We start from the raw sequence: 13,424 nt of genomic DNA on the forward strand, positions 1-13,424 counted from the left end.
CGGGACATGGGATTATTTACTTAAATATCTTAATCTTCTTGATCTGCCTGTGGAAGCTGGAAAAGTATGCATGTCCAGGGGTCTGAGGGTACATGGCTGTTCTCCGTGCTTTTAAAGATGCCCAACAGGAGAAATTCACAGGAAACAATATTTTAAGTCATGAAGCACAAAGAAGGTCCCAATAGTCCCAGACTCCAGCTCTGGGGTCAAGTGCTAAAAGCATTGTTACTTTCTTACTTACGAAGTTACAAAACATTGTTTCTGAGTCCCTGGCATGTAAGTTACCTCAGATCCTCAGCAGTACAAAACAAGCGCTTTTAGTCCCAATTTGGGAAAGAAGAGACTAAGAAGTGGAGCCAGTTTTCAAAAGTCAGAGGTTCTCCTTATTCACCATGCTGCCTCCCTCACCATACCTTTCCTTGGTGTCCTGTTCATTGTAACTCTGGATAATTAGCCAAGCTGATGCCTTGTCCTTTTACAGAATGACAGAAAATTCTTCAGATTATTATAAACAATGTGTGATCCATTTTCCCTTGTGAGTGAGTGAATGGTCTGTTTAAAAAGGGCCTATCAAATGCTCCTCGTTAATGACTAAGAGCCTGTCTGCTTTCTTTCCCAAAGTGGGAATGGGATTGTGATGGAAGTTGGGCCCACCAGGTGTGTGGATATGGTTAGAAGCTGCAGACAGTCTTTATTGACCACCATCTTGGAGGGATGGACTTTGCGACGTCCAATGCCAAATTACTGCCCAAAAGATAAGGAAAGAATGAGAATGCAAAACCTGGGGTGGTGGGGGAGGGGGGCTCACTGAATTTTACATAATTGCATATGAGATGAGACTAGAAATTTTGCAGATGTTTCTGGCTACAGACTCATTTTACTTGGCCAGACAGTGGTTTTGTTTTTGGGTTTCATTATTATTTTAATTTCAGGGCATTTAAGAGAAAATGCATTGCCCATGGCTCTGATTACCATATTCTAATGTGATTTATAGGACTGGCTCCTGAAGCCATTAAGTTTATGACCCCTGGACTTAGAGATCTTTCCTATTCTGGCGTTTTTATGACTCTATGGAATTGGAAGGACAGGATAGTTCATAGTGAGAGTGACTCACAGGAATGGCTGGAAGGGAAAGTACCCCCTAATCAGGAAGGTTTTGGGAAAACATTCAGGTATGCCCTAGGCATAGAAGAACTATTTAGTAACAGGAAACTCAAGATGGTTTCTACTCTGTTTTACAAAGATTGTAGCTAGGATGAAGTTGCATTTTGAAAGGTGAGATGTCAGATTCTAAAGACTGTGTGGGGTGAGGCAAAAATTGTACGTAGTTGCAAAGGGCAACCTTGAAAGTCAATGCTGTGTCTCAATGCATCTACCAATTTTATTTTGTGGTTGTTGTTTGCTTTGTTTTTGTTTGTTTGTTGTTGTTGTTATTGTTGTTTTCCTGTAGCAGGAAAGCAAATCCCTGGGTCTGCATTCAGCAGCAGATGAAAAACTCAGCGTGCATTGTAAGGGTAATGTTGCTCCAAAAATCTTTAAGCACTGGAATCACACAAGTGAGCTTCTGGACTTTTAAAAAATATGAACAATGGGGATAACTTTTTTTAAAAAATCAGCGAGACCCCTCCTCTTCTCCCTCCTTTAAAATTTTACCTTAATCTCAGCCAAAAGCCTGAGAAGTGATTCCCTTAAATTCTAATTTAGAAACATCTGTGTTACTGGAAGCCTTCATGCTTGTACTTGCATACCAAATTTCTGAAAGTTTATACCAGAAAAGCTTAATATTGGTTATCTCCAGCCAGAAGAAATTGAGCTGGGAATGGCTGAAAGGGGAGATTGTAAAATTATTACCCATTTTTTGACCTATTATATTTTGTTTTATTTATTTTAAACATGAGCATGTTATCCATACATAAATAAAAGGAAAATTTAAGGAAACATTATTTTATTCACATTCTTTATTTTTCCTTATTTCATTATTGTTTTATTTACCTTATTTTAAAATAACTGTCATATATGTTTGATTTGAAATATTGTATTTTCTCTAAATTTACCCCAAAGTGTTCATTGTTAGGTAGCATGTGATTTAATTCAAATATCAGATCATTTCTGTTTGTCTCTTTTTTTAATAATCTTTCAGAGGAAAATATAATCACAGTTTTCAGTTTGGACCCCAGATCATTTTGAGCCAAATTTTAATTGATTTAATTAAATAAACTTATCTAATGATTGCTGAAACAGACAGATATGTGCTGAGCTTTGCTGGCAAAACTGTAACACTCTTGGAATCAAATGGGTTCATTCGGGTTAGGGAGGACAATGAATTTGGCCTGTGGAATGCTACATTAAGAGTCTATGACTTTCAGGCCAGGCGCGGTGGCTCGTGTCTGTAATCCTACCACTTTGGGAGGCTGAGACGGGTTGATCACCTGAGGTCAGGAGTTGAAGACCAGCCTGGTCAACCTGGCCAAACCCCGTCTCTACTAAAAATACAAAAATTAGCCAGGTGTGGTGGCACAAACCTGTGATCTCAGCTACTCAGGAGGCTGAGGCAGGAGAATCGCTTGAACCTGGGGGGTGGAGGCTGCAGTGAGCAGAGATTGCGCTCAAGCCTGGGCAACAGAGCGAGACACCATCTAAAAAAAAAAAAAAAAAGAGTCTATCAAAAGTAGCAAGAAAAGAAGAGTGAGCAGAATGGTGTTGGAATCATCTAGGTGTCGTGAACAAATTGGCAGTCACTCATCTATTTTATGTATGTGTATGTCAAGTGACTTGCATCCTTATGCTGATGACCCTTGGTCTACTGCTCCCACGAAGTGCTTGTCTACTTGTATATTTCCTTGTGAACAGTCTGTACTTGGCATGTTGTCATTATAACACTGCCATCATGCCGCCTGTGATACACTACTAGGTGGAGCACAGGACAGAGGACCCAGAAAAGAAGAAACACAGAACCCTGCCCATCAGAGTCCATGGTTTCCAAGGCATCCAAATACACAAAGATATCTGTCTGAACACAGTGTTATAGGCACACACTGAGTAAACTTTAAGGAGTGGCCAGCTGAGGTGGCTCACGCCTGTAATCCCAGGACCTTGAGAGTCCAAGGTGGGTGGATTACTTGAGCCCAGGAGTTTGAGATTAGCCTGGGCAACATAGCAAGACCCCATCTCTACAAATAATAAAAAACAATTAGCGGGGCATGGTGATGGATGCCTGTAGTCCTAACTACTCCAGAGGCTGAGGTGGGAGGATTTTTTTAAGCCAGGGAGGCAGAGGATGCAGGGAGCTGTGATTGCATCACTGTACTCCAGCCTGGGTGACCCTGTCTCAAAACAAAAACAAACAAACAAAAACCTCTAATGATTGCTCATAATTTTGCTGATAAAGTCTTTCACAGAAAACATGTGGAAAGCAGAGAAAACATATGTAAACTATATGTAAACTAAATGTGTTCTCATGTACATTTGTTTGCAGTGGCCAAATTAGACTAGGAAAGGGCTGATTGCAGGCACACTGCCTATGAATTAACCCTGCTTCACAAGGAGCAGCAGTACCAAAATTATTAAAAATGTAAAGAAGAAAAAAAAGACTAGAAAAGATCACTTGCAAGCTACAGTGAAGTGTAAGCAATAAGCTAATTTTTGGTTTGAATAATTAACACTTTTCATGCAGTATGAGAAAAACATTTAAATACTTTCAAATTTGGCTTAATTTATTTGGATGATTGCATTTTTATTTTCTATTTTGTTTTTTGTAGTTTTTTTTTTTTTTCAATTTTTATTTTAGATTCAGGGAATATATGTGCAGGTTTGTTGTTTTTGTTAATAGAAGTATTGTTCTGATTAACACCAGGAAAAGTGTTAACATTGCTATACCCCTAGTACAAAGCTCGAGGAATGTTACATAGGATTTTAGAGGCTTTTTCTTTCTTTCTTTCTTTCTTTCTTTCTTTTTCTTTTTTTTTTTTTTTTTTTTTTTTTTGAGATGGAGTTTTGCTCTTGTTGCCCAGGCTGGATTTTAGGGGCTTTTTGAAGGATGAGGAGAGAAATTACTTAACAGGATAGGTTAGAGATTGACTACAGGGCATAACGTCTTGCCTTGCCAATTAAATTGATTGATTATTGACTGGCTGATTCGTTATATACTGGGGATGTTGAAGAAACTGGTGGGCGGCCTTTGTCCTAGAAACTATTATTGCAGCTGTGACAACTGCTTCAATAAGTTGTCAAGTACATTAAAGAAGTAAATTACATGAAATGTGCTTTGCTTTGCATTCATCCGTCTTCCACCATCGTAACTCACTAAGTCTCATTGACGTGGGAACGTGGAAACATCTCCTCTGTCCTTTACTCACCACCACCACTGGGATGACTGTCAGAAGTCTCCTAAGGGGCTTTTATATTAATTTCAAAGCTTTCTCGCTCTCACACCTCTTAGTGATAGCCAGTAAAACACTCTGAATCACTTCACTTTCCTCATGGAAAACCTTCAAATGCTTCCTTTGCTATCTGATGAAAGCTAAACGTCTCCCCCGTGGGATTATTAAGAACATGAAAGACATGGTCCATCTCCCTACTTAAAATTTTTTCAGCCGGGCACGGTAGTTCATGCCTGTAATCTCAGCACTTTGGGAGGCTGAGGCGGGTGGATCACCTGAGGTCAGGAGTTTGAGACCAGCCTGGCCAATATGGCGAAACCCTGCCTCTACTGAAAAATCCCGTCTCAAAGAAAAGAAAGAAAGCTGGTCAATAGAGCTGAGATTCTGCCCTAGGTCTGTCTGGTCCCTTTCTATTGCCACTGTCCCATTCATTATCCTTATGCAAGTCCGGCCCCCACTACAAGCCTGAATGTGGAATGGCCTTTCTGCCTCATTTTCAAGATCCAGTTCTCCAAGACAGCCTACCTGGATTCTCCAGATCTCCCTAAGCACCTTTTTCCTAAACTACCTAAAAATGTACTCCCATTTCCTGCCCCCCAAGTTGAGTAAGGTGTCACTCCTATGTACGCAAACACCTGTTTTCATCATACCACATATTTATAATGCACATTTTTGTTATATAACACATACAGAGAAAAATGCATGTATCATAAGTGTATAGCTTGATGAAATCAAGATCAAGCTCAAGATCAGATCAAGAAATTAACAGCACCTGGTAGGATGTCTTCCTTATGCACCCTCTCAACTATGAGCTCTGCCTTCCTCCCCAAAGGTGATCACATCTTAACTTCCAAATCAATTCATGCTGTTTGCCTGCTTTTACATTTTATATAAATCAAATCATACAGTCTGGGTTTTGTTTATGAGATCTATTCCTTGTTGTATATAGCAATTATTCACTCATTTTCATTGGGTAGTATTTCAGTATATGAAACCACACTAAATTCTTTATTCATTTTCCTATAGGTGGACATTTTGAATGGTTCCCATTTTGGGGCTGTCATAAATAGTATTACTGGGAACACTATTGCAAATTTTGTATTGCATATGTGTGCAGTCTTTGGGGTCTATACTGTGGAAGAGAACGATTGGGCCACAAGTTATAGATATCTTCATCTTTAGTAGATACTGCCAAGCAGTTTTCCAAAATGGTGCACCAAGTTATACTCCCACTGCAATGTATATTTTTGCAGCTGCTTCTTATCTTCATCAGTCACTGATAGTGTCTGTAATTACAAATTTTCCCTCTCTCTCCCTCTCCCTCTCCATCCCCCTCTTTTTGCCTAGCATGACATCTAGAAGGTATCTTTGTAAAAGTCTGGTGAATTAATAAATGGATGACTAACAAGTACACAGCTGTTTGCTTTTATACTCTTCTGTCACCTCTGAGGCCGGATAAAGTAATGGCTACAAGCATAGGCTTTTGGGCCAGATTGACATGATTTGACTTTCGATCTCACCACTTACTGACCAGCTAATGACCGTTCTGTACGAGTTTCTTCACTTTTGACATCACAGCATTGTTATGAAGAGTAAACAGCTTGACTACAGAATACTTAGAACAGCCAGGTATGGTGGCTCATGCCTGTAATCCTAGCACTTAGGGAGCTCAGGACCAGCCTGGGCATCATGGTGAAACCACGTCTCCGAAAAAGACTTATTAAGAAACAAAACGTTGTTTACTTGGTTGGCTGAGGTGGGAGGATCACCTGAGTCCAGGAGGTTGAGGCTGCAGTGAGCCATGATTGTACCACTTTTCTCCAGCCCAGACAATAGAGATCGTGTCTCAAAAACAAACAAACAAAAAAAACAAACTTAGAACATTGTCTGACACATAATAAGAGCTCAGTAGAATTAGCTATTACGATTATAATCCGGTCCTCAGGGCCTGTATCCTATTAGAGTTCCTAGAATTGGTTAGGAAGAATCTTAGAGCTTCCCGTCTATGAAGCCTGCTCTAGGCACCCGACCCCGCAGAGAGCCGCTGGACGTCTGAAGTTCCCTTTACCCCTTGTTCACTGCCTGTCACATGTTAAGGGTAGGTGCCTGTCTCCCCAGGTGGATGGCAAATTCTGTAAGGGCAGTGACTGACTTATTCTTTTTGGTAGCAGTGGTTTTAGACACATTTTAGCTTATGAGAATCTTAGCTGAATTGGTTCCCCCAAACCCATATTTGAGTAGACCTACAGCTGGAGAGCTATGGAGAAGACAATTATCCCTTTTCCAATCAATTGTCGTGCTCAAAGGCAGGCTGGCTGGGGCTCAGGGAATGTGCTGGCAGGGATATGCCCCACTCCCTTAGGTAAAAGATACCTCTGCACACACATTATTTGACAGTACAGTGCTTAGTAAATATTTGTCATTTGTTTATTGATCTCTTGTTCTTTCTTGACTTCCCTGTTCTTGCCTTGTTCTCTTCCCACCCACTTGTGCTTGATCTTATCTCCCATCTGGGTGACAATGTTTGGGTCTCCTCTGGCACCTTTCAATTCTGGAGAAACACAATTCAGATCTTCTATGTGAAGTGATGGACTATAATCCAGTAAACCAGAATTCTACCTTCAAAACATAAAAAAAAGCTTTGTAACTCGTGACTGGCCCATCTGAGTTATCTATAATTAGATTGCAGATTCCTAAGCCCACCTGAACTGTGTTCAGATGAAAATGAGATTTAAGCACTTTTTGTTCGAGGAGGAATTCATAACTGTTATTGAGAATGAGAATGAGGGGGAATATGCAATGAGTCTCTATGTTAGAGCCGGCATCAATCTTTAATAGGAAAATACATGCTTTTTTTTTGTTTTGTTTTTTGAGACAGAGTCTTGCTCTGTCGCCCAGGCTGGAGTGCAGTGGTGCGATCTCGGCTCACTGCAAGCTCCGCCTCCCTGGTTCACGCCATTCTCCTGCCTCAGCCTCCCGAGTAGCTGGGACTACAGGCGCCCACCACCACGCCCGGCTAATTTTTTTGTATTTTTAGTAGAGACGGGGTTTCACCATGTTAGCCAGGATGGTCTCGATCTCCTGACCTCGTGATCTGCCCGCCTCGGCCTCCCAAAGTGCTGGGATTACAAGCGTGAGCCACCGTGCCTGGCCTTGCTTTGGACTCTTTATTTGTCAACTGGGCCCGGTAGGGAATTGAACACGTAGCTAATGCCTGTAGAGCAGTAAGTCAACAGCAGAGCATGACCGGTGGCCCACCTTGAGCAAAAAGCTATCGACTCGTTTTCATCTTCTTCCTTCATTAGATCATGAGGGAGAAGAACTCGGTTATCTCTGAACACCTGTTTGGCCCTTGGAAACCTTGTGGGGTAGGAGAGGGGGACTGAGGCAAAGTGAGGTGAGACCCAAGAGCAAGGATAAGAGGAAAAAAGCTCACAGCTTTCCCTTGGGGAAATCCCTGTGCGAACTGGAAGGTCAGGGTAGCGGGGGTGCAGCAGGCCTACAGGGTGCTTTTGCAATTAAGGCAGCAGCAACATCAACTGTTTGGGGATTCCCTGATTATTTGTTAAGTATTTGTGTGGAAGACCTAGAAGAGTGAAAAAGTCCAAACCTTTGGACTCAAGATCTCCAAGGATGGTGCCACCTCGCTTTCTCCCACAGGTAATATCACAGTGGGGTGAGCTCTAGGAGTGGGCTCTGCCACACAGCCCCAGAGCCTGCTGGGCCCTTAGGGTGCTAGGTAGACACTGGCTCAAGAAGCTTCAGTCCAAGCTAGGGATGAGCTCCTTCAGGGTCCCTTTACTGAGCTCACTCTAGACCTGGGTCAACTCCAGGTACTCTCAGAAACCAGATGTCCCAGCCAGGTCAGCTTTTTGGGAACATATCCACTTATTTAAAACATTCTCCCCAGCACTTAGGGAAGCCGAGGCAGACAGATCACTTGAGGCCAGGGATTCGAGACCAGCCTGGCCCACATGGTGAAATCCCATCTCTACTAAAATACAAAAATTAGCCAGGCATGGTGGTGCATGCCTGTAGTCCCAGCTACTCAGGAGGCTGAGATGGGGGGATCACATGAACCCAGGAGGCGGAGGCTGCAGTGAACCAAGATCACACCACTGCACTCCAGCCTGGGCGACAGAGTAAGACCGTGTCTCAAAAAAAAAAAAAAAAAAAAAAAAAATTCTCACCCTCTTGTGTGGCATTCTCCTAAACTTCACAGACTATTTCTCAATTTCCATCTCAACTAACTGCTTTAGGTCGGCCTTCTTCATCAGGCTCTGGAAGGGCGAAGTTGTCTGCTTTGTCCACTACGATATCCTGAGCACTCGCAATAGAGCCCAGAGTAGGCTTTCAAATATTTCTGGAAAGAATTACCTGTAACTGAAGACAAGCCAAATGTCAGGACAAATAGTCCAACTTCACAGGACAGGCAATAAATACAGGAAGCATTACTTCATAGCAATCCTTGCAAGATGAGTAAATTGCAAAGGATTTCCTTGGATGGATTTATGAATGACAGACACCATAAAATGCTGCTAAAAAGGCCTGGAACGTAGGTTGGCTTTAAGACCATCCTATACTCCCCTGGAGTCAGAAACCACTGCTGTTGGGAGCAAACCACTAAGCAGGAAATTACAGCAGGATTTTCATGGTTTTCAATTTTAAACTAACCCATGATTACCCCCTTAACCAAAATATACAAAATAACACATGACACAATATATGTAAATATTTTTCAAGGTTTTATTGCAAACCAAAATCAGTTTATCACACACAAAAAAAGTTGTGTGATGGGATGAGGGAAGGATTGTACGTATTATAACCATGTTAATTACAGTACATTAAAATGGTGGTTTACATTACAAATAAGCCTGTAAGTTTAAATATACTAGTGTTATAACCCAATGTACAGACGTTCTTTATACAATACATACAATTATCAGGAATGCAAAAAAAAAAACATAAATAATGCCCATTTTACAGGTGACATTTTAAACAATGAAAAACACCAACGGCTCTGACTGACAACTGGGGCATTGGTCCATAAAAACCCTTTCTAAAAATAGAAATATTTGTAGCAGCAATGCTTTCTTTAAGCATCTGAATACGAGTCATTGCAAGACCATTTCAATAAATTTTAGTTATTAACCGTATCTTACAAAAAAGTCTACACATAAATTTATCTTCCAAATATGGAAGAAACAAACAATGTCCCACGTTGTAGTGTCCTGCAAGTGTCACATTGATGCTTATAACAAAATCCATCTGTGATCAGGCATACCACACTCACACGACGGTTCACACAGCATATCCACAAGGGAAAATAAAGAACTGAAACACTGCGATAGGAAAAGCTTTGGAGCTAACACAATCTCTTCAGAAAAGGCACATTTCATAATATTCGTCATCACAGCCCAGACAGATCTGCAGGAGACCTTTTTTAGAACAGCGTCCGCTTTCTAACGAAACTCCTGCCTCCGTCTAAGGCGGCACTCTAACGCTCGTTTCAGAGATAGCACCACGTTGGAAGGAAGAATAAAAATGAAAACCTCATGAGCTCACTGAGGAGAATGTGCTCTTCAAAAAGCTTCCAGCGAACAGTGTGCAATAAGATTGCTAAGCTTCCAGAGATGTGCAAATTCTCTTGTAAGATGTCCTGTCAGCTGGCGGCTCCACCAAAAGGCTAACTAAAACATTCGGAAACACACATAAAATCCTTTAAAACCAAGCCCTAACAGGGTTCAGAGGAAAGAGTCCGTGGGAGGCGCATAGGAAAAGCCTAGGAAAGCCTCGGCAGCTTCCTTGACGCTGGCTGTGACGAGGACGCTGTCAGGGGACTTGCCAATGGAGTTGGGGACAGGCTCTTCGGTAAACTCGGGGTCAAAGTGCCGTAGGTCGTTGGGCCCACTCTGTGACGGGAAGGGAAAAACACTCTTGTCAAGAACTCACACTAGACACAGGACAGGGAAATCTTGACCAGGCTTTAAATACCAAGTTTAAGTCTTATATCAACTTCCATAATCACCCACTTCAAGCACAAAATCTCAAAAGGCTACACACAGTTAAACATAAGAATAATGTTCACTTGTTGCCTTTTGGTGCTTCGAATTGATAAATGTGTCTAAAAATTATGGGAGCCTTGTTGGGACACAAAAATGTGCTTTTTATGTAGGTAAAATAACAGGTTTATGGAGAAAACATCTGCCAATGTATTCCTTCCAACCCTCCCCCAGACAATTCTGAATTAAAATAAATGCCCTTTGGGCTTCTCTATACTTAGAAGAGAGACAGATACTCACCACATTTGGGTTAAAAGGGGGAGTAATCTTCTTATTAATGAGATCATCCCAGTTAATTAAGGAGAAGAAGACATGACTCTTAATCTCCATCTGTTGATAAGAAACCCAAGATTAATTTAGACAGGTGCATTCAATAAGGGCAGGGAGGTCTAGTGCACGTCCCGGCCGGCCCAGGAGGACAGGAAAACATCACTCACGAAGTCATCCTTGGCCCCGAGCCGCTTTGTCCTGTCCTTCTGCAGGAGGCCCTCCAGGAGGTGTCTTGCGGAATTTGTAATATTTGGTTTCAGCTGGAGAGGCTTGTTCAGAATGTTGTCGTACATTTCAGCTGTGTTTCGGCTATAAAAAGGCGGCTGAAAGAAGGGGAAAATTACTTTAGACTTAATTGGAAGTTTCATATGGCACACATTACCAGTAGAGAAAAAGATATAAACGGCAATAAATATTAGGCTCGATTTGAGAAACTCTCCCCACCTCAATGCTTTCTTTTCCCTTGCTATTTAAGTGTCTACTTTGCAACCCGTGTGTGTGTTTGTGTGTGTGTGTGTGGAGGGTGAGGGGGTAGATGTTAATAAGTGGTAGTTTTTCACCACCACACAGGTTCAATGTGGTCCTATCTAGTAAAATGTGAAATGCACAAAAGAACCAGGTAAGTGATTATTCTTATGAACTATAAAATAACCAATATGCCTCTTAGCTGCTTTTGATAAGCGTACTGGTAAGGGCAAGACACCATGGCCAAGCATGGGCTGTGTGAAGGCAATATTGTAGGGAGCAGGCAGTGTTCCATGGTTCCCAATGTGCCACTCACCAGGCCATACAGCATCTCATACAAGACAGCTCCCAGGCACCACCAGTCCACAGTCCTGTCATAAGGCTGCTTATGAAGCACCTCAGGTGCGAGATACTGAAAAACAGACCAGGGAAACAGCGTTTAGAACCTGCGAAAGCAAGCAATCCCACGACCACACATTTAGTTTGAAAAAGCTGAGAGACCCAGAGCCAGCTTGGAAGATAGATATCTTTAGATTCCTTCCTGATAAAACTGCTGGACTTTTTGAGGGTGACTGGCTACCTATGTGTACTGACATTTAGGAAACTGCTGGGCACTTGATATCTCTTACTTAGGGATTTAGAAAGTTTTTATGATGCAGATCTTACTTACAAACAGCTACTTTTCAGTAAAGGAACAGAAGGACTTGGGATTTCTCATGCTACATCAAACAGCAAATGTATTTTATTTGCACTGAACTGTATTAAGAAGTCTCTGAGAGGAGTTTACTCTTTTTGGTAGTTAAGTGCATGATTGTACATCTCTCTCTTGGAAGGCGGGGGTAAACCAGGCACCAAACCAAGACAGCGCCTACCTCCGGCGTGCCACAGAAGGTGGATGTTGTGCTGTTGTGTTCAATGTTCTCCTTGCAGAGTCCGAAGTCAGTAAGGACAATGTGTCCCTGTGAATCTAGCAAAATATTCTCTGGTTTTAAGTCTCTGTAAAAAAGTGAATAGAAAAGTAGTTGCACAAGTTAATTTCACTTCATAAGATATCCTCTTAAAGATAATTGCTAAAGGTATTAGAGGCATTTTAGGTTCACTGTAGTTGTGTAGTGAAGAAAAAAGGGAGCCCTTGTTCTGCTCATCTATTCTGGATTAGGCACAATCCTACTTGGCTGGTTCCCCCTTGGCACTTAAGTCAAGCCAGCTCACGTGCTAGGGGATCTGGTTTTAGGCAACCAAGTTGCAAATAAACACAAATTATTTTAAGGCCCTATGAAACAGCCAGTGCTACGTCTCCTTTATACCAAAACTGGTAGCCTGAAGAGCTCTCAGGCTTACCTATAAACGATGTTCAGTGAATGCAGGTAGCCCAAGGCACTGGCTATTTCAGCAGCATAGAAACGAGCCCGTGGTTCCAGGAAGCAGCGTTCCCTCTGGAGATGGTAGAACAACTGCAGGAGACAGAACAAAGTCATTCTGGGTTGCAAATGAATTTAATTAGTTTTGACATACACAGCAAAAGAACAACTGCAGGAAGTGGCCCCAAGTAATCTATTAACTATAAACCTGACAGGTTGAAGGAAATGCTAATTCTGGTAACATTCTCCCCACCAAAAATCTTTGAAAACTTTTTTCTCAAACTAAAACAAAGCAGGCTGTGCAGAGACACTAAGAGTTGACTTCTATCCCCCCTGCTCACCTCTCCACCATTAATGTAGTCTAGGACAAAGTACAATTTGTCAGCAGTCTGGAAAGAGAAGTGAAGGCCCACCAGGAAAGGGTGCTTCACATTCTTCAACAGAACATTCCGCTCCGACATAATATGCTTCTCCTAGGAAAATGACGATTCAGATTTAGTGGCATGTTTCAACTTGGCACCAACATTCCAGAATCAAGATTATTCAAGGAGTGTCTACCGCCAATGCCAGCCCCATCAAGCACATCTCATACCTCTTTCTTTTTCAGGATTGCTTTCTTCTGTAAAACTTTGACTGCATAGAACACTTCTTCTGCCTTGTGTCTTGCTAGAAGAACCTGAAATTTCAATTTAAAAAAATCATTTTTCTATCCTCATCCAGGGAGAATACAAAAGAGGACATGAAGGAAGTGTACCAAAAGATCTTCAGATTTGAAATTACCTTTCCAAAACTGCCCTTTCCGATCACTTTCAAGAAGTGAAAGTCAGATGGTTTAGCATGAGGATTGGACGACGGGCCAAGGTTGATTTGCTGAGAAGGACTTGGCT

At 41.8% G+C, this 13,424-nt stretch overlaps 1 protein-coding gene across 5 annotated transcripts in view, besides 1 other annotated feature; it reads right to left on the bottom strand.

Annotated features, from left to right (window-relative positions):
* Positions 358–859: an enhancer, noted in NCBI's record as "NANOG hESC enhancer chr6:134481640-134482141 (GRCh37/hg19 assembly coordinates)". NCBI's record gives its function as "activates a minimal SCP1, AML or CMV promoter by ChIP-STARR-seq in primed H9 embryonic stem cells {active_cell/tissue: H9 hESC(primed)}" and the evidence as "EXISTENCE:reporter gene assay evidence [ECO:0000049][PMID:30033119]".
* Positions 9,112–13,424, bottom strand: part of SGK1 (serum/glucocorticoid regulated kinase 1) — a 148,857-nt gene continuing 144,544 nt past the window's right edge. For 4 of the 5 annotated variants that reach the window (NM_001143676.3, NM_001143677.2, NM_001143678.2 and 1 more), the window contains 9 exons: positions 13,318–13,422; positions 13,130–13,213; positions 12,879–13,010; positions 12,518–12,630; positions 12,049–12,172; positions 11,493–11,588; positions 10,879–11,034; positions 10,682–10,771; positions 9,112–10,291 (listed from right to left, as the gene is read on the bottom strand). In NM_001143676.3, coding sequence (NP_001137148.1) covers positions 10,124–10,291; positions 10,682–10,771; positions 10,879–11,034; positions 11,493–11,588; positions 12,049–12,172; positions 12,518–12,630; positions 12,879–13,010; positions 13,130–13,213; positions 13,318–13,422 — 1,068 coding nt within the window. In that variant the 3' untranslated portion in view covers positions 9,112–10,123. The remainder of the gene's footprint in view (positions 10,292–10,681; positions 10,772–10,878; positions 11,035–11,492; positions 11,589–12,048; positions 12,173–12,517; positions 12,631–12,878; positions 13,011–13,129; positions 13,214–13,317; positions 13,423–13,424) is intronic. The other variant, NM_001291995.2, reaches the window with a different exon arrangement.

Source organism: Homo sapiens, chromosome 6, assembly GCF_000001405.40.
Source record: "Homo sapiens chromosome 6, GRCh38.p14 Primary Assembly".
NCBI classification, from domain to species: domain Eukaryota; kingdom Metazoa; phylum Chordata; class Mammalia; order Primates; family Hominidae; genus Homo; species Homo sapiens.